Source organism: Homo sapiens, chromosome 18, assembly GCF_000001405.40.
Source record: "Homo sapiens chromosome 18, GRCh38.p14 Primary Assembly".
Taxonomy (NCBI): Eukaryota; Metazoa; Chordata; class Mammalia; order Primates; family Hominidae; genus Homo; species Homo sapiens.
In genome coordinates, this window is record NC_000018.10 from 6,344,292 (window position 1) to 6,364,337 (window position 20,046).

The window sequence follows — 20,046 nt, forward strand, 5'->3', positions numbered from 1 at the left end:
CCTAGAAGAAATGGATAAGTTCCTAGAAATATACAATCTACCCAAACTGAACATAAAGAAATAGAGAATCTGAACAAAGAACAAGTAATATTAAATCAGTAATTTAAAACTTCCCAATAAAGAAAGCCCAGTATCTGGTCACTTCGTTGGTAAATTCTACAAACATTTTAAGAAGAACTAACACCAATCCTTCTCAAACCCTTCCAAAAAATTGAAGAGTAGAGACAACACTTTCAAATTCATCTCATGAAGCCAGCATTACCCTGATAGCAAAGACAGACAAGGTCATTCCAATATACTAAAATTACAAGGTAATATCCCTGATGAACACATACAAAAATACTCAACAAAATACTGGCAAATTTAACAGCACATTAAGAGAATTATACACTCTCATCAAGTGGGACTTATCCCTGGTATGCAAGGATGGTTCAACATATCAAAATCAATAAATGTCATATGCTACATTAACAGAATGAAGGATAAAAATCGTGATCATTTCAATAAATGCAGAAAAAGCATTTTTCATGATTAAAAAAAAACTCTCAACAAATTAGGTATAGAGGGAATGGACCTCAAAACAATAAAGGCCATATATGACAAGCCCACAGGTAACATCATTTATAATGGTGAAAAGTTAGGAACAAAATAAAGATGCCCACTCTCGACATGGTACTAGAAGTCCTAGTCAGAGCACTTAGGCAAAAGAAAAACAAAAAAAGGCATCCAAGTCAGAAAGAAAGAAGTAAAATTGTCTGTCTTTGCAAGTCACATGTCTTATATATAGAAAACCATAGGCCAGGCACGGTAGCTCATGCATGTAATCCTAGCACTTTGGGAGGCCTAGGTGGGTGGATTGCCTGAGCTCAGTAGTTTGAGACCAGCCTGGGCACCGATGGTGAAACCCCATCTCTACTAAAATACAAAAAAAAAAAAAAAAAAAAAGAAAAAAAAAAAGAGCCGGGCATGGCAGCATGCGCCTGTAGTCCCAGCTATATGGGAAGCTGAGGCAGGAGAATTGCTTTAACCCGTGAGGCGGAGGTTGCAGTGAGCCGAGATGGTGCCACTGCACTCCAGCCTGGCAACAGAGTAAGACTCCGTCTCAAAAACAAACAAACAAACAAACAAACAAAAAAAACCATAAAGATTCCACCAAAAACTGTTTGAACTAATTTTAAAAATTCGGTAAATTTGCAGAATATGAAACCAACATACAAAAATGAGTTGTTGCTATACACTGACAACAAACTATCCAATAGAATTTAAAAACAATCCCCTTAACAATAACATCAAAAAGAATAAAATTATGAGGTATAAATTTAACCAAGAGGGTGAAAAATCTACACTGAAAGCTGTAAAACACTGATGAAAGATATTAAAGTAGACACAAATACAGAGAAACATACTCCCTTTTCACAGATTGTAAAAATTAATACTGTTAAAATATTCACACTACTCAAACTGATCTACATATTCAATGCATTCCTTATCAAAATTCCAATGGCATTTTTCACAGAAATAGGAAAAACTATCCTAAAATTAATATGGAACCACAAAAGACCACTAATAGCCAAAGAGATATTGAGCAAGAAGAACAAAACTAGAGGCATCACAATTCCTATTTCAAATTACATTGCAAATCTATAATAATCATAAAGTATGGTAGTAGCATAAAAACAGATATATAGACCAACGGAACAGAATGGAGCGCCAAGAAATAAACCTATGCATATACAGTCAACTAATTTTTTGACAACGGCAGTGAGAATACACAATGGAGAAAGGACAGTCTCTTCAAGAAATGATGTTGGAATATATATATATATATATATATATATATATGGATGTATATATGCAAAATGAAGATCTTATTTTACACAATACATAAAAATCAATTCAAAATAGATTGAAGACTTAAATATAAGACCTGAAACTGTAAAACTGGTAGAAGAAAATGTAAGGGAAAAGTGTCTTCACATTGGTCTTGACAATGATTTTTTTGGATTTGACACTGAAAGCACAGGCAATGAAAGCAAAAATAAATAAGTGGGATTACCTCAAACCAAAAAACTTCTACACGGCAAAGGAAATCAATCACCAAAATCAAGCGATGACCTATGAAATGGGAGAAAATATTGGCAAACCATACATTTGATAAGGGGCTAATATACAAAATATATAAGCAACTCATATAATTCAACTACAAAAAAAATTTAAAAACCTGATATTAAATTGGGCAAAGGTCTTGAACAGACATTTATCCAAAGAAGATATACAAATATCCAACAAGTATAGAAAAAGGTGCTCAGCATTACTAATCATCAAGGAAATACAAATAAAAACCACAATGAGATATCACTTCACACTGTCAGGATGGCTACTACATAATTTAGAAAAAATAATAAATATTGGCAAATATGTGGAGAAAAGGGAACCCTTGTATACAATTGGTGGGAATGTATGAAAAGCAGCATGGCTACTCCTCAAAATACTAAAAATATGACTACCATATGATCCAGCAATCCCACATCTGGGCATATATTTAAAGGAACTAAAATCAGTATCCAAAGAAATATTTGTACTCCCATATTCACTGCAGCAATATTCACAATAGCCAAGATGTGGAAACAACCTAAATTTCTACTGACAGTTGAAGCGATAAAGAAAATGTGGTACACATATACAATGCAGCATTACTCAGCCTTTAAAAAGAAGGAAATCCTGCCATTTGCAACAACATGGATGGATCCAGAGGGCATTACATAAAGTGGAATAAGCCAAACAGATGATAAATCCTGTATGATCTCTTTATATGTGAGATCCAAAATACTTAAATTTGCAGAAACAGAGGGTGAAATGATGGTGCCGGGAGCTGAGGAAAGGGGGAAATTGGGAGGTGATGGATAAAGGGTACAAAGTTTTAGTTATGTAGGATAAATTAGTCCTGAAAACCTACCATACAGTATAGTAGCATTAGCTACTATAACTAACAATACTGTATTGTATGGTTAAAGTCTGTTAAGAGGGTAGATCTTATGTTAAGTGTTCTTACCCCCAAAAAAGAAGAAAAACATAATAATAATTTAAAAAGAGAGTAAGAGAAAATTTAGGGAGGTGATGGCTATGTTTATGGCCTTTATAGTGATAATGTTTTCATAGTTGTATATATTCTCCAAACTCATCAAGATATAATATATATATATCTTTTTATATGTCAATCATACCTCAATATTCTAAAATTAATTAATTAATTAAAACATGGGAGGAAAATATATGACTTCAACAGATACAAAAAACCAACTGACATAAATTAACACCAATTCATAACTTTTTAAAAAAAAAACTGTTATGAAACAGAAATAGACAAGAACCACCTAATTCTGATAAAGAGTATCTATCATAGATCTGCAGCAAACATCATACATGATGGTGAATTATTGACAGCTTTTCTTCTGAGTTGGAAATTATGTGGATGCCCGCTATCATCACTTCTATTAATATTACACTAGATGTCCTAACTAGTGTAATGATGCAAGAAAAATAGAAAAACAATCATAAGGATTGGAAGGGGAAAAAAAAGAAAATTCTAAACACTTCCAGACAACAGGATCTGAACACAAAAAAATTAAATTGACTAACTACCAGAAATAAGAGAATTTACCAAAATTAATAAATACAAGATCCATACAAAGAGTCAATCTTGTTTCCATATATCAGCAACAAAAAATAAAATTTGAAAATGCCATTTACAATAGCATTGATTCCTATTAAAGACCTAATACTAAATCTAACAAAAGATGAATGAGAACTTTAAACTGAAAACTATATAGAACATTATTAAGAAAAAATTTTAAACACCAAAGTAAATGAAAAAAATACCATATATATGGATTAGAAGATTCAGTACAGTAAAGGTGACAATTATGCCCAAACTGACCTGCTAAAAATCCTAATAAGTATAGAGGGATTTTTAAAGAAATTGGTTAGATTGATCCTAACAGTTATATGGAAATACAAATATGAGAAGAAGAAGAACAAATCTAGATGGCTTGCACTACCAGATAGCATGATATTACAAAGTTCTAATAATTACAACAGCATGACCCCAACAGAAAGATAAACAGGCACCAATGAAACAGATTAGAAAGTTCAGAAACAGATACATAATTTTAAATAAGGAAATACAATAGGGAATGTGATTGAAAAAGATGATCTTGAATGAATAGTACTGGGGCCAATATAACCCATACACCAAAAGGAAGTCCAGATGCATTGTAGATCTAAATGTTAAAAAGTACAGCAACAAAGCTTAGAGAAAAAAACAAAACTGGCAAATATCTTCATGGCCTTAGGTAACAATTACTTGAATAATATACAAAAAGGTACCAACCAAAAAATAAAAAAGTATATACACCAGAGTACATTAAAATTATGACCATCTGTTCATTAAGAGGCTCCATTAAGAAAGTGAAAAGGCAATCCAAAAAGTAGGAAAATGTATCTGCAACACATTGGTCACATGGACACTCATCCAGAAAATATCAAGAAATCCTACAAATTGACGATGATAGCAAATAACCCGTAGAGAAATGGGCAAAAGCTTTGAATGGGAACTTGACAAAAGAAAGCATGCAAGTGGCCAGTAAACATTTGAAAAGATGCTTAACTTCAGTTTTCAACAGGAAAATTCTAATTAAAACTACAAAGTTACACCATTACACAGCCACCAAAATGGTTAAAATGAACAACACCAAGTGCTAGACAGAAGAAGCAATTAAAACTCTCGTTAACTACTACAGTGCAGTTGTCATGTAAATTAGAACAACCACTTCAGAAAACCATTTGGAAGTAACTATTACAACTGAACATAAACATATCCTATGACCTAACAATTCTACTCCTAGCTGTTAACTCAACAAATGTATTCACCAAAAGACATATATAATAATGTCCACAGCAGCATCATTCTTAATATTCCAAACTGGAAATAATCAAAACATCCATTTATAGTAGAATGAATAAGTAATGTGTGGTGTATTCATACAATAAAATACTACAGAAAAAATTTTTAAACTACTGCTATATAGAATAGTGCCACTGAATCTTAGAGACATTATGCTAAACAAAAGAAGCCAAACACGAAAGAATACACACTGGCTTGGTGCGGTGACTCATGTCTATAATCAAAGCACTTCGGGAGGCCGAGGTGGGAGGATCGCTTGAGGCCAGATCGAGACCAGCCCGAGCAACACATTGAGAACCTGTCTCCCCTAAAACAGTGAATAAATTAGCTAGGTGTGGTGGCATGCACCTAGCTACTTGGGAGGCTGAGGCAGGAGAATCACTTGAGCTCAGGGGATTGAGGCTGCAGTGAGTTGTGATTGCACCACTGTACTCCAACCTGGGTGACAGAATGAGACCCTGTTTCAAAAAAGAAAAAAAAAGAATACACACTGATTTGACTGATATAAGCTCAAGAATATGCAAATCCAACTGAGGGAGAGTAATCACCTGTGGTGGGAGGGGCTTTGGGAGCAGTCACTGGAAGGAGCAAGAAGGGAGAAGGCTTCTAGGGTCCTACTAATGTAATGTTTCTTGATCTGAATGCTGGTTTTCCAGATGTGTTCACTTCATAAAAAAAATAAATAAAATCCACTACACTGTATTCTTACATTATACATACATTTGTGTATGTCATAGTTTAATAAAAAGCTTACTTAAGTTTGAGTCCACAAATGGCATTGAGAAAACTGGATATTCACATGCAAAATAATGGAGCTGGTCCTTTACCTTACACCATATACAAAAATTAGTTTAAAATGAACAAAAGACCTAAACATAATAGCTGAAACTATAAAACTCCTAGAAGAAAACATAAGTGAAAACCCTCACGGCATTGGATTTGGCAACAACAATGATGTCAAAAACGCAAGCAACCAAAGAATAAGTAAATAAATTTGACTCCATCAAAGCTGAAAACGTTTGTGCATAAGAGAACAATACCAAGAGAGTGGAAGGCAATCCACCGAATGGGAGAAAATATTTGCAAATCATGTATCTCATAAGGGATTAATATCCAGAATATATAAAGAACTCATAATCTCAACAACAAAATACAAATGACTCAGTTGAAAAATGGGCAAAGAACTTGAACAGACATTTCTCCAAAGAGGATATTCTAATAGCCAATAATCATGAAAAAATACAAATCAAAACCACAATGAGATACCACTTTACACATAGGATGGCTAATATAAAAAAGAAAAAAAAAAACGGAAAACAAAAAGTGTTGATAAAGATGTGGAGAAGTGAATACCCTGTGCATTGCAAGTGGGAATGTAAAATGGTACAGCCACTATAGAAAACGGTATGGTGGTTCCTAAAATAATAAAGCATAGAGTTACCATATGACATAGCAATTTCACTTCTAGGTATAAACTGAAAAGAAGTGAAAGCAGGGACCCAAACAGAAATTAGTGCACCAATGTAAATGGCAACATTATTCACAATAGCCAAAGAGTAGAAACAACCTACATGTCCATTATGGATGAATCGATAAAGAAAATGTAGTATAAACATACAATGGAATATTATTCAGCCTTAAAAAATGAAATTCTAGGCCAGGCACAGTGGCTCATGCCTGAAATCCCAGCACTTTGGGAGGCTAAAGCGGACAGATCACCTGAGGTCAGGAGTTCAAGACCAGCCTAGCCAACATGGTGAAACCCCATCTCTCCTAAAAATATTTTTAAAAATTAGCCAAGTGTGGTGGCACGCACCTGTAATCCCAGCTACTCAAGAGGCTGAGGCAGAAGAATCACTTGAACGAGGGAGGCGGAGGTTGCAGTGAGCCAAAATCACGCCACTGCACTCCAGCCTGGGAGATGCAGCGAGACTCCATCTCGAAAAAAGCGCATACTACAACATAAATGAATCTTGAAAACATTATGCTAAGCAAAATAAGCCAGATACTAAAGAACAAATATTGTATTATTCCACTTATATGAGGTACCTAGAATTGTCAAATTCATAAAGACGGAAAGTAGAATGGTAGCTACCAGGGTCTGGGGGAGAAGGCAATGGGGATTGATTGTTTACTGAATACAGAATTGCAGTTTGGGATGACAAAAAAGTTCTGGAGGTGGATGGTAGTGGTGGCTGCACAACAATGTGAATGTGCTTAATGCCACTGAGTGATCACTGAAAATGGTTAAGTAAATTTTGTATTATGTATATTATACCGCAATTTTTAAATGTGGATTTTTTATTTTTTTTTTTGAGATGGAGTCTCGCTCTGTCGCCCAGGCTGGAGTGCAGTGGCGTGATCTCGGCTCACTGCAAGCTCCGCCTCCCGGGTTCACGCCATTCTCCTGCCTCAGCCTCCCGAGTAGCTGGGACCACAGGCGCCTGCCACCACCCCCGGCTAATTTTTTGTATTTTTAGTAGAGACGGGGTTTCACCATGTTAGCCAGGATGGTCTCAATCTCCTGACCTCGTGATCCGCCCGCCTCAGCCTCCCAAAGTGCTGGGATTACAGGCGTGAGCAACCGCGCCCAGCCTAAATGTTGATTTTTTTAAGAGACAGGGTCTCAATATGTTGCCCATGCTGGTCTCAAACTCCTGGCCTCAAGCAATCCTCCTGCCTCAGCCCCACAAAGTGCTGGGATGACAGGCATGAGCCACCACTCAAGTCAAAAGTTGATTTCTTTATAAAAAGTTTATTGTGCTTATATTATTTTCTGGGTATTATACTAATAGCTGCTACTATAAGTGAATTTCCCCCTGCCAAGAAGGAAAGACAGGTGGGTTTAAATTTTTTTGCTTCTCTCCCTTCTCACTGCTAGTAATTACTCAAAATGTGGTCACTCTCAGCATTCTCTGCCAAATCTTTTAAAATCTGGAGCACCTAGCCACTTAAAAGACACAACCAAAGATCCCAACACATCATGATCATTTCACCTCAAAGTAATTACCTCCTCTTCTACAAACCCAATCTCCTCATCTTTATGAGCTGAATCTTTTGGCTGAGTTTAGATCTATAAATTAATGCATTCACTTAGAACAGTCCATTCCACAGAAGGCTCTCAATAAATTATAAATATTTACCTTTAGTCATTCAAAATTTATTGAGAGCCTATTATGATAAAAGGAGATGGTAAATATTCTCATGGTAGCTAAGAAAACTTCCATATCACATGCTCTATCTTCTGATCTAGAGGAAAAATAAAAAGTGGTTGATGAGATTACTATGAACTTTATTGTGACTATTTGTCACTGCCAGGTACTTAACATCTAGATCATTCCCCACATTATGAGTCCTGCCTTCTCCAAGGCAGAGGCCAGAAAATCTTGCAACCACACTACCCTGAAGGTAGGATACAGACAGTGACCTTGTTTCTGCCAGGAAAATGCAAAGGGATGCTATATCATGACCATACAATTTATCTATTTCTTAGCTGTCTTTCCTATGTGCTGAGAACCTTAAAGAAAAAAAAAGGAAATCTAGTTGGTAGCCTCAAAAGTGGAAGAAACTGAAAAGAGACATTTTTCAGGAACTTTAAATGGTCAAAAATATTTTCCTTCTATTTTTATCCTAAATTGTTCTTCAAACCATTTGAAAGAATAAATATCATACAGTTTATATAAATTCTTATTTTAAAAGACAAATACCTCCCGTAACCTTTTAAAATAAACTAAATGAACAAAATTATAGTTTTTCAATAAATTAAACTAAACATATGTAAATTATAACTTACCACAAGTAAATGCAACCTAGTGCAGTGTTTCTTTAAAAAGGCACATTCTGTTTCATAAGCTTTCCACATATTTTGTCTCTATTAAATACACACTTGAAAAACTATGGTGGAAAATATAATGGCTTTCTGCCATTGACACACTCACAGTATGATACAAATCAACGCAACTCACAGTTCATACAGTTCATGAGGTAGCTCTAAAACCAAAACTTTCAAGAGACCATGATGAAAGCAAAAAAAAAAAAAAATGCTTATTTGCTGCTCATCACTTATATAATATTCTACTCATCAATTTCAATAAGCATCCTTACTACAGAATTTTGAATTTATGCATGATAAGGCAAGAATTCTGTGGACACTGGTTAAGCAGATGTAATTAAATAAAAATATCAGTGATATGTTTTTAAAATGAATTCTGTCAGGAACACACTCAGCAAGTTTCTTAAAAGATTTTTACTATCTTTGTTTGGAGATATGATCTTATATTTGGAAAAACCTAAAGACTCCACAAAAAAATCTATTAGAAATGATAAATTGAGTAAAGTTGCAGGATACTAAATCAACCTACAAAAATCAGTAGCATTTCTATATGCCAACAGTGAACAATCTGAAAGAGAATTTTTTTAAAATCCCTTTTACAATAGGTAGAAATAAAATTAAATACCTAGGAATTAACCAAAGAAGTGAAAGATCTCTATAATGAAAATTATAAAACACTGATGAAAGAAATTGAAGAGGATACCAAAAAATGGAAAGATATTCCATTTTTTTACTGGAAAAATCAATATTGTTAAAATGTCCATACTACCCAAAGCAATCTACAGATGCAATGCAATCTCTTTCAAAAATACCACTGACATTATTCACAGAAATAGAAAAAAGAATCCTAAAATTTATATGGAAGCACAAAAGACCCAGAATAGACAAAGACAACCTAAACAAAAAGAACAAACCTGAAGGAATCATGTTACCTGACTGCAAATTATACTACAGAGCTACAGTAACCAAAATAGCAAGGGACTGGCTCTGAAAAAGACACATAGACCAATGGAGTAGAATACAGAACCCAGAAACAAATCCACATACCTACAGTGAACTTGTTTTCAACAAAGGTCCCAAGAACACACACTGGGGAAAAGACAGTCTCTTCAATAAATGGTGTTGGGAAAAGTGGATATCCATATGCAGAAGAATGAAACTAGACCCCTATCTGTCACCACATACAAAAATCACATGAAAACAAATTAAAGATTTAAATCTAAGGCCTAAAACTATGAAACTACTATGAGAAAACATCAGCGAAACTCTCTACATTGGTCTGGGCAAAAATGTCTTGACTAATATCCCACAAGCACAGGCAACCAAAGCAAAATGGACAAATGGGATCACATCAAGTTAAAAAGCTTCTACAGAGCAAAGGAAACAAACAACAAAGTGAAGAGACAACCCACAGAATGGGAGAGAATATTTGCAAACTTCCCAGCTGACAAGGAACTAATAACCAGAATAAATAAGGAGCTCAAGCAACTCAATAAGAAAAAATCTAATAATCCAATTTAAAAATGCATAAAAGATTTAAATAGACATTTCTCAAAAGAAGACATACAAATGGCAAATGGGCATATGAAAAGGAAGTCAACACCACTGATCATCAGAGAAATGTAAATCAAAACTAGAATGAGATATCATCTCATCTAAGTTAAAATGGCTTTTATCCAAAAGATGAGCAATAACAAACACTGGTGAGGATGTGGAGAAAAGGGAACCCTCGTATACTGTTGGCAGGAATGTAAATTAGTACAACCACTATGGAGAACAGTTTGGAGGTCCCACAAAAAAAATTAAAAATAGAGTTACCATATAATCCAGCAGTCCTTCTGCTGGGTATATACCCAAAAGAAAGGAAATGAGCATATCAAAGAGATTTTTGCACTCCCATGTTTGTTGTAGCACTGTTCACAATAGCCAAAATTTGGAAGCAACCTAAGTGTCCATCAGGAGATGAACAGATAAAGTAAATGTGGTACTTATACACAGTGGAGTACTATTCAGCCATAATAAAAATGAGATCCTGTCATTTCCAACAACATGGATAGAACTGGAAGTCACTATGCTTTTTTATGTTTTTTAAATAACAATATGGATTGTGTGTAACGCAAAGGATAAATGCTTGAGAGCACAGATACTCCTTTCCACATGATGTGATTATTATGCATTGCATGCCTGTATCAAAACATCTCATGTCTCCCATAAATATATACATCGACTATGTACCCACAAAAATTAAAATAAAAAAATTTTTAAGATTTCTAATAAATTAACTCTTTATTCACCTGTAATGTTTTCAATAATACTATGATAAGGCAAGCATATTTGTTGATTTTTTTTTTTCTTTGGAAAAGAAAAACCTGAAAGTCAAAGAACTGGATAACAGTAGTAATCTTCATCCATTTTGTCTACAAAGCACTTCAGAACTTGAGCAAAATAGATGACTTGTCAAGATGCTTATCAATGTGAACAATCTACCAGCCAGAAACAACTATCTGAATACAAAGGCCTGGAAAATGGAATTGTTCTAAATAATTATCATTTGATTACATTTAAATACATATGGCTAGCTTCAATAAGTTCATCTCAATGACTTAAAATCTATCAACTGTATGTAAGTCAACCTCCTGCAATATTAAAAACCCATTAACTTACATGATTTACGAGTAAACAGTGTGCTAGGTAAAGATAAACTTTAGCACCCTCATTTTATCCTCATTTGAATTACTTTTCTCATTCAAATTTATAAAAAAAAAAAACAAACAAAGCAGTGACCTCTGAAGCTAGTACCATGTGCACGATAAGTGATTCACCAGCGTGTGCATGATTCATCCCCAGCAGGGTTGGTCACCTCCATTTCTATGACACCACAATCAACGGCCACCATAGTAGCAGGCTTGAGACCTCTAGAGCTCCTCCACAGCTCAATCACAGCCCTCAAAAAAGAGGCCTGAACTTCAGACAGCAATGATGCCGTCAGCTCTCTTTCTAGTGACTAATACAAGTCCTATGAGTCACCTGGGCTTTCTGTGTCTGTACCTTTTAAAATCCAAAATAATTCTGTAGTATTCTCTGTGTTTGCACAGAGTCAGCATCCCAGTACCTGGTGCAAGATGACATTTACACTCCAAAGAATGCCTTGGAGAGAGAGAGAGGACACCGCTCCCACTCATGGAGAACCCACAGGCCAAACCTCGAAGAGGAGATGGCAATCAACATAACAGAGTTACGGCATTCTGCCAAACTCTATTTGTCCCACAGCTTAAATATCATGTGCTCATCCTGCTCACAGATGGATTTTCTTTTCCTGATTGCCTGGATCAACATAAACATACAGTCATGTGTCACTTAACAACAGGATTTGTTCTAAGAAATGCGTTATTAGCATAAACATCATAGTGCAATTACACAAACCTACTGGGTAGAGCCTACTACACTCAGGCTATATGGAATGGCCTATGGCTCCTAGTCTACAAACCCGTACTGAATACTGCAGGCAATTGTAATGCAATGGTAAGTATTTCTCTAAATATAGAAAAAGTACAATAAAAAATACGGTATAAAAGATAAAAAATGGAGGTCACTTACCATGAATGGAGCTTGCAGTACTGGGAGTTGCTCTGGGTGGATCAGTGAATGAGCGGTGAGTGAATGGGAAGGCTGGGACGTTGCCGTACACTGCTGTAGACTTTATGAACACTGTATACTTAAGCTATGCCAAATTTATTAAAAACAGTTTTTCTTTCTTCAATGATAAGTTGGTCTTAGCTTACTATAAGTTTTTACTTTATGAAGTATAAAGTAGGTTTGTTTACACCAGCATCACCACAAACACATGAGTAATGCAATGGGCTACAACACTGCCACAGCTGCCCACTGTCACTGGGTGACAGGAATCTTTCAGCTCTGTTATAATCTTACGTGATCATATATGCATATGGGTGTCATATATGCAGTCCGTCACTGATGAAAACGTCATTGTGCACCACGTGACTTTATCTGACTTTTGCTGTATCTCATCCAAAGCGTTGATATCTTATCAAGTTAGCTCCCACCTGAAACCTTGTTTCAGTCTGCTTAAGTCTATCCCCCAAAATTGTAATTAAGAAACTCCATTTATCTTGAAAAGAAATGGTGACAACAGGCTGGAGTCTTTGACACTACTATATATTTTCTTGTTGACTTTCTCATCAAATCTTGAGACATTCTGTGAAATTCCTAAGTATTTATTGGGTGGAACTTCAGAAGAAAAAATTTAGTAATATGTAAAAGCACCAAACAAAAAAGTCCTGAACAGTGAAATAACTAGTACCTTCTTTCCATTCTGCAGCTCGTTTAATTTTGGTATCTTTTCTATAAAACCAGCCACCCCCATCATCCCCTACCAATGATCTATTCTAATTCTATGTAGTAAATGTTTGAGAGAAAAAGAGATTCCTCTTGTTCTTAACAGGAATGCACAAGTCCTCCAAATGCTGACTGCCAGGTTTTAAATCACTCTCATCAAGACACTACATACACATAAGCAACTGTGAAAATTCCCCTCCATGACTGGGGCCTAATTGTCACCATCAAGACTTTTGAAAAAAAACAATATCATTTGAGAAAATTCAAACCATATGCATATACGACAGAGAATGGCAGGATTTTCTGGTCACTTCATGGATAAGTCAGTTGCCTAAGCCTTGTGGATTATGTAAAAAGCATAAATTGTGATACAGCTATCACAATGAAATTACTCCTGCATGCATCATTAAAAGCTTTATCTCCAGGCTGACTTCATTTAGTGCTTCAAAGTTCAGAACGTAATCTCATTATCTCATTGTTTTCTTTCAGTTCCTTGGGAAGACACAAAACCATCACCACTAGAAAATGCCTTTGACCAAGCCTTGGACAGATGAAGACAAAGCGGAGCACACATCACGAAAAGTGTCTGTCTCATCCGCAGCCTGGCCTACCCTTCCCCCATCAAGGTGGAGAAAATCAACTTTCCATAAATTATGCAGCCTTAAAGCAAGTGCTTCACTATGCTGGGAGTTAACAACCTCATTTGTAAAATCAGTGGATGAGACTATCCTAGAAAATGACCTTTAAGACCTTTTCCGGGTCTAACTTACACTTTACTAAGAGTGCCGATTAAATAAACTTGTGATGAAAAAGCTTTTTTGGAAGATGGACGCAAATTAATCCAACCTTCTTATTTTACAGAAAGAAAAACTGAAGGCCAAAGAAATGAGACAAGGTCACGCAGCTAGCTGACCACAGGCTCAGGGATACAGCCCTGGGCTGAGCTCACACACTCCAGGGCTTCCTGCACCTTGGCCCACTACCTAGTCAAAAGTCCCCTCCAAAAAGGTATCACATGATCAATGTTGCTCCACTTCAAAGCAGTTCCCTCCAAAACCCTGCAGTTTTAGAACAGAGCATTAAAGGAAGTCACCCAAAAAGAAAGACAGCTGTAGCAAAAGTCTAAGGCTTACGGATAAGAAAGTGACACCTGGTCAAGCTACTCCAGTTCCCCAGCCCACCTTCCTGTGCTCCTCAAACCAAATCCAAGACCTCCTAGGATCTAACCAGCACAAGTTTCAGAAAGTCTGTGTCATCTAAGTTTACAATGTCTACCCTCAGGAAACTTGGCTCTTCAAACACACAGGAGACTGCCCCTTTTGCACGTGGAAAGCAGTGAGAGGCCAGTTCCCTGAAGCAAGGTAACCAATGGCAAGAGGAATGAGCAGAAGCACTGGCCTGAGGGCTCCACAGGAGAGCCCTGTGCAGATGGGGACCAAGTGGAGAACTTGCCATGTCTATTTCTGCATTGTTCCATATTCCAGTGGATAGCCCAGGTATGATTTCAGTTTATGAAAATGTCTTGCAAAGAATCACATTTTTGGGTCTTTTCATATCGTATTTACTGATTCAAATCTAGTGTTTTCATTTTGTGCCAGTTACTTTCATAGCCCAGACCTGCAACACAAGCTTAATCAGTCATTTAAGACATTCTGAAACTATTTAAAGGTATAAAATTGAGTAACTTACTTAATTCTCAGGCCAACATTTAATAATACATCATAACCTCAAACACAGCTGGGCACGGCGGCTCATGCCTGTAATCTCAGCACTTTGGGAAGCCAAAGTAGACAGATCAACTGAGGTCAGGAGTTCAAGACCAGCCTGGGCAACATGGTGAAACCCTGTCTCTGCTAGCCAGGCATGGTGGCACATGCCTGTAATCCCAGCTATTTGGGAGGCTGAGGCAGGAGAATGGCTTGAATCCGGGAGGCAGAGGTTGCAGTGAGCTGAGATCATGCCACTGCATTCCAGCCTGGGCAACACAGTGAGACTCCAGCTCAAAAAAATAAATAAATAAACATGACCTCAAACAATTACTTAGTATAATCTTGAGAAAATGGCTAAAATAAGTTTTCTCTAAACACTTTTTTTTTCATTTCAGCACAGATAACTCTTAGAAGAGGGTGAAACTATGACATATCTAAAAAAAAAATTCTAAAGCATTCTAAATAAGTTGTTTGTTCTAGGGATTTCTAGGGAAAATCTTACACCAAATCTATTTTAAACTCTCAAAAATTCCCAGAGAGTTGGACAGACTGAGATTCTAGCACTCTGTTGAAGTACTAGGTGACCAAAGCAGATCCTTACGCAAAGGAGACCTGTGAGTGCTTTACAGACTTATGTTTTCAATGAAAGAGACTGTACATTCTCTGCATCTCACCCTTCATATTCCTCCTAGTGTGGGGGGCAAGCAGAAGGCAGCAGACACAGTGGGTTAAAGGGTTGTATGAATTGGAAAGTCATGGTCTTCCCTTTTTTCCTCCCTTCTTGCTTTCATAATTACTTAAGTATGAGTTAATAATTCAGAAGCACCACATGACATACTAACAACAAGCTGGCAAGTAAAAGGTAATTCTCTGTTTCATGAATACAGTACTTATAGAGAAACAGAACTCTATAAGGAGAATGTTAAAGCCAGTTGAGGCTAGGAGCAGTGGCTCATGCCTATAATCCCAACATTTTCAGAGGCCAAGGTGGGAAGGTAGTTTGAGGTCAGGAGTTCAAGACCAGCCTGGGCTACATAGTGAGACCCCCATCACTACAAAAAAATACAAAATTTAGCGGGGTGTGGAGGTGTGCACTGTAGTCCCAGCTACTCAGGAGACTGACACGGGGGGATCCCTTAAGCTCAGGAGTTCTAGGCTGCAGTGAGCTATGACTGTGTCACTGCACTCCAGCCTAGGTGAAAGAGTAAGACCCTGTCTCAAAACAAAAATTTTAAATAAAGCCAGATGAGACAGGAAATTAAATCAGTCACTCTTCTATCCACTATTCTAGAGGTTTTCACTTTTCTAGGATCTTATATATCAAACATCCAAAAACTTTACAAAAGCTAATTAACTCAGAAAGGAGATTTATCACTTTAATGTTACACAGAGATAAACTGAGAGATCAAAGGTTGAGCAGGAAGAATGAAGAGAATGACATTAGACCACGAGATGGTGATCAAATCATAATCCCCAATGTGCATGTGTATGGGGTTAAACTGCTTTCCCATACATTATCTGATTTGATGCTCTCAAGAATGATACTGGGGCAGAGTGCAGTGCAGTGCTAGCTCACGCCTGTAAACCCAACACTTTGAGAGGACAAGGCAAATGAACTGCTTGAGGCCAGGAGTTCAAGACCAGCCTGAGTAACATACCAAGACCTCATCTCTACAAAAAAGAAATTTAAATTTAAATTTAAATTTAAAAAATTAGCTGGGCATGGTAGCATACTTTTGTAGTCTCAGCTACCTGGGAGACTTAGGAGGTAGGATTGCTTGAGCCAAGGAGTCTAGTCCAAGGCTGCAGTGAGCTGTGATTGTGCCACTGCCCTCCAGCCTAGGCAAGAGAATAAGACTCTACCTGATTAAAAAAAAAAAAAAAAAAGATACTGGGTAGGCAAAGTAAGTAATAATGATGATTATAACAACACCAGTAGTCACAGAAACAGCAGCAGCAGCAATAGTAACAGGCCTTATTGATGTTTTAACTGTGGCCTACAATGGGTGAAGCATGTGATACCCAGCAGGACACTGAGAGTCCCACCCCCATTAAGAGAAATGCTCAGGACCACGGTAGCTCAAAAGAGCAGAGCCAAGACTCAAACACAGATCTTCTCACACTAAATTCAGTCCTCTTTCCAGTATAAATAGTAATGACAGTCTACCAGGCTCTCTTGCCAACATCTCTTTCTTAGGAACTGCTGTGTCTCCCCACCGCCGTCTGCCCCAACCGTGCAAATTTTTGCATGGGAAGTTGCCCTGTACCCACATGATCATAGCCCCAGCAACAGCCCACAGATCCAGGGGTGGCCTCCAGACTCAAGCTGGACAAATCAGATTCCGTACCAAGGAATCTGTAATAGGAACTAAGGTAGATCAGATTAATCCTTCTCTGAGAGGCTAGATTGTAACACACAGGCTGGAAATTGTTGGCAGAACCTATTTTCCTCATGTGGAAATGGAGGAAACCAGACTGCAGTGGGAAAGGAAAATGAAGGCGATCTTTAAAGAGACAGTCCTGGACAGTGTGCCAATGCCAGGTTCTGCTTCTTCAGCTGGCTGCAGTCCTATGCAGGGGTTCCACAGATGACCTCCAAAGAATTCCATGTACGTCGTCTCTTTCCTTAGGCTTTCTCTAGTGGGCCTCTGCTCTGAGCAACTGAGGGACCTAAGTAGTAGAAACAAGTTGTGGCTGGGCGTGGTTGCAGTCCCAGCACTTTGGGAGGCAGACGCAGGGTGACCGCTTGACTCCAAGAGTTTGAGACCAGCCTGAGAAACATAGTGAGACCCCCATCCCTACTAAAAATTAGGCAGGCATGGTGGTAGACACCTGTAGTCCCAGCTACTTGAGAGGCTGAGGTGGGTGGATCCCTTGAGCCCAAGATTTCAAGGTTGCAGTGAGCCATGATCACACCACTGTACTCCAGCCTCGGTGACAGGGCAAGACACTATCAAAAAAAGAAGAAAAGAAAAGAGGAGAGGAGAGGGGAGGGGAGGGGGGGAAGAGAAGGAAGGAAAGAAGAAAGGAAGGAAGGAAGGAAGGGAGGGAGGGAAGGAGGGAGGGAGGGGAGGGGAGGGGACTGAAAGGAAAGGAAAGGGAAAGGAAAGGAAAGGAAAAGAAGAAAAAGAAAGAAGAGAAAGAAAGAGGAAGAGGGAGGAAAGAAAGAAAAGAAAAGAAAGAAGAAAAGAAGAGAAAAGAAAAGAAAAGGACATGAAGAGACCAGCACTAGGAGAGCTCACGTAGACCATCTTTATACTTTTGTCTGCTCAGCAGCCCTCTCTCCTTCTGCTAACAGAGCCCCTCTCTGCTGGAAAACTGCTCCTTCCCCAGCCACCTGGGTCTAGTGGAGGATGGCTACCTTCATTTATGTAATCTGGTATTCTACCACATCCCTGTGAAGTCTCATTATAAGTATTTTTTAAATGAGGCTCAGAGAAATTAAGTATCTTGCCACAAATCACAACACCAAGAAATGATACTGCCAGTATCTGCACCCAAGTATCTCTGACTTTAAAATGTGCACTTTTTCCAATAAAACACTTTCCCTCCCTGGTAACTTACAACATCTTAGTAACAACTCATGAACCAATATTTACTCAGCACTTTCTGTACAGGGTATTGGAAAGTAGTGGGAAGAGAAAGCAATAAAAGATACAGGAAAAACAAATGCAAGTTTTTATTAGAAATGTTAAATCCCAAATCCCAGGCTGTACTGGGTTTTTCGGAGAGAAGGCTGGAGAAGGAAGTGTGGGCGCATGCGCACTGCCTTTCAGTCGCCATACTCTGATGCCCGCGGAAAGCACTCATCTACCGTGAACCGCAGAGGAAAGGTCTCCATTCTAAAACACTTTTCCCATAGCTCCTGTGAAAAATGGAGGGGCTGTTTTCTATGAACTCTGACAGAGATAATAGTCTAGGACATATATCGGGGATGAAGTTAAATGCTAGACACAGACATTCTTCTATTCCTAGTGGGAAAAAGAAGGAGAGAAAAATCGCCAAAAAACGGTCAAGTCTCCGTTTCCTGAGTTCGTAAATTGTGGCAGTAAGTGGATTTCACACTTGGTTTAACTTTGGAAGCATTTCTTCTAACAAACCCCTTCATGGAAAACCCAGGTATGAACCGTCCAGGGGCAGCCCCTGATGGCTCACTACACGCCCACACCCGACTCCCAGGCCCCCCGGGTGCCCTAGTCCCCCTCCAGGAAGCCCCGTGTCTTTTCAACCACTTCCCACCACCTCCAAACTGCAATGTTATGAGAGTTGACAGGGAAAGTCCACTCAAGTACGTGTATTAAAAAGCAAACTGAAAGCGTGATGTCAGAAGTGACAAAGATAAAGAAAATGGTTTTACTACCTACCATACCCATTAAGCTACTTTTGGAAACCCAGATGTAACAAAAATACTAACAGCTAACTTGCTGAGGGCTTACTCCTTGCCAAACTTTCAAATACTTCATATGAGTTAACCCCTTAAGCCTCACAGTAATTCCAAGAAGAAACGACTCTTTCTATTCCCATATTAGAGAGGAACGAATTGAAGTTTACAGAGATTAAGAAACTTGCCCCAACTTAAGCCACTCAGTGAAGGAGCCCAGCTTTGAACCCAGGAGCTCCCATGCCCACTTAACCACTATGCTGCTCCGAATCACACTGCAAAAACAGACACCGAGCTTCAAAGTTATTACATGCTTAATTCACATAACCACTAACAGCAGCAAGCCTTACTCCAAGTTCAGATGACTTCTCATTATTACCATGCTCCCTCGACATCTAACAGCTGGGAAAAAAAAAAGAGGCTATCACTAAACCTCTACCCATTGTCTTAAAACTGATTCTCAAACTGTGGTCCAAGGGCTCCTGGGGGTCTCTATGATATTTTTAAGGGGTCCTCGACATCCTCTCTTTTTGGTCCTTGTATCTACGCGTGCCTGGATTTTCTTCTTATACTTCAACCAACACAACACATTGCAACAGACTGCAATGCAGAAACACATATAAGAATTTGGCTGCCTTCTATTAAGCCAGACATTAAAAACTTGCAAAAATGTGAAACAACGCCGCTCTAGTCACTAAATATTTTTGTTTCAGAGAATATAACTATTTTCATTAAAATATTATTTATGTTAAGTAATGATTATATTGTTATTTTTAAATAAACTAATAAATATTCTTAATTTTTT

The 20,046-nt window shown here is 37.8% G+C and overlaps 1 protein-coding gene and 1 long non-coding RNA gene across 30 annotated transcripts in view, besides 2 other annotated features; one reads left to right on the forward strand and one right to left on the reverse strand.

Moving 5' to 3' along the window:
* Positions 1-20,046, reverse strand: part of L3MBTL4 (L3MBTL histone methyl-lysine binding protein 4) — a 460,543-nt gene that overhangs the window by 389,575 nt on the left and 50,922 nt on the right. For 4 of the 29 annotated variants that reach the window (NR_158611.2, XM_047437920.1, XM_047437918.1 and 1 more), the window contains exon 1: positions 12,393-14,739. The exons of the other annotated variants lie outside the window; for them this stretch is intronic. The gene's annotated coding sequence lies outside the window, so the exon portion shown is untranslated. Of the gene's footprint in view, positions 1-12,392; positions 14,740-20,046 lie in introns of those variants that run through there. 29 annotated transcript variants of the gene reach the window in all.
* Positions 11,556-11,755: an enhancer, noted in NCBI's record as "active region_13060". NCBI's record gives its function as "activates an Ori minimal core promoter by ATAC-STARR-seq in GM12878 lymphoblastoid cells {active_cell/tissue: GM12878}" and the evidence as "EXISTENCE:reporter gene assay evidence [ECO:0000049][PMID:35858748]".
* Positions 12,229-13,965, forward strand: LOC124904240 (uncharacterized). The gene is made up of 2 exons (XR_007066272.1): positions 12,229-12,317; positions 13,641-13,965. It is a non-coding gene; the product is annotated as an uncharacterized LOC124904240 (long non-coding RNA).
* Positions 19,529-19,588: a silencer, noted in NCBI's record as "silent region_9266". NCBI's record gives its function as "represses an Ori minimal core promoter by ATAC-STARR-seq in GM12878 lymphoblastoid cells {active_cell/tissue: GM12878}" and the evidence as "EXISTENCE:reporter gene assay evidence [ECO:0000049][PMID:35858748]".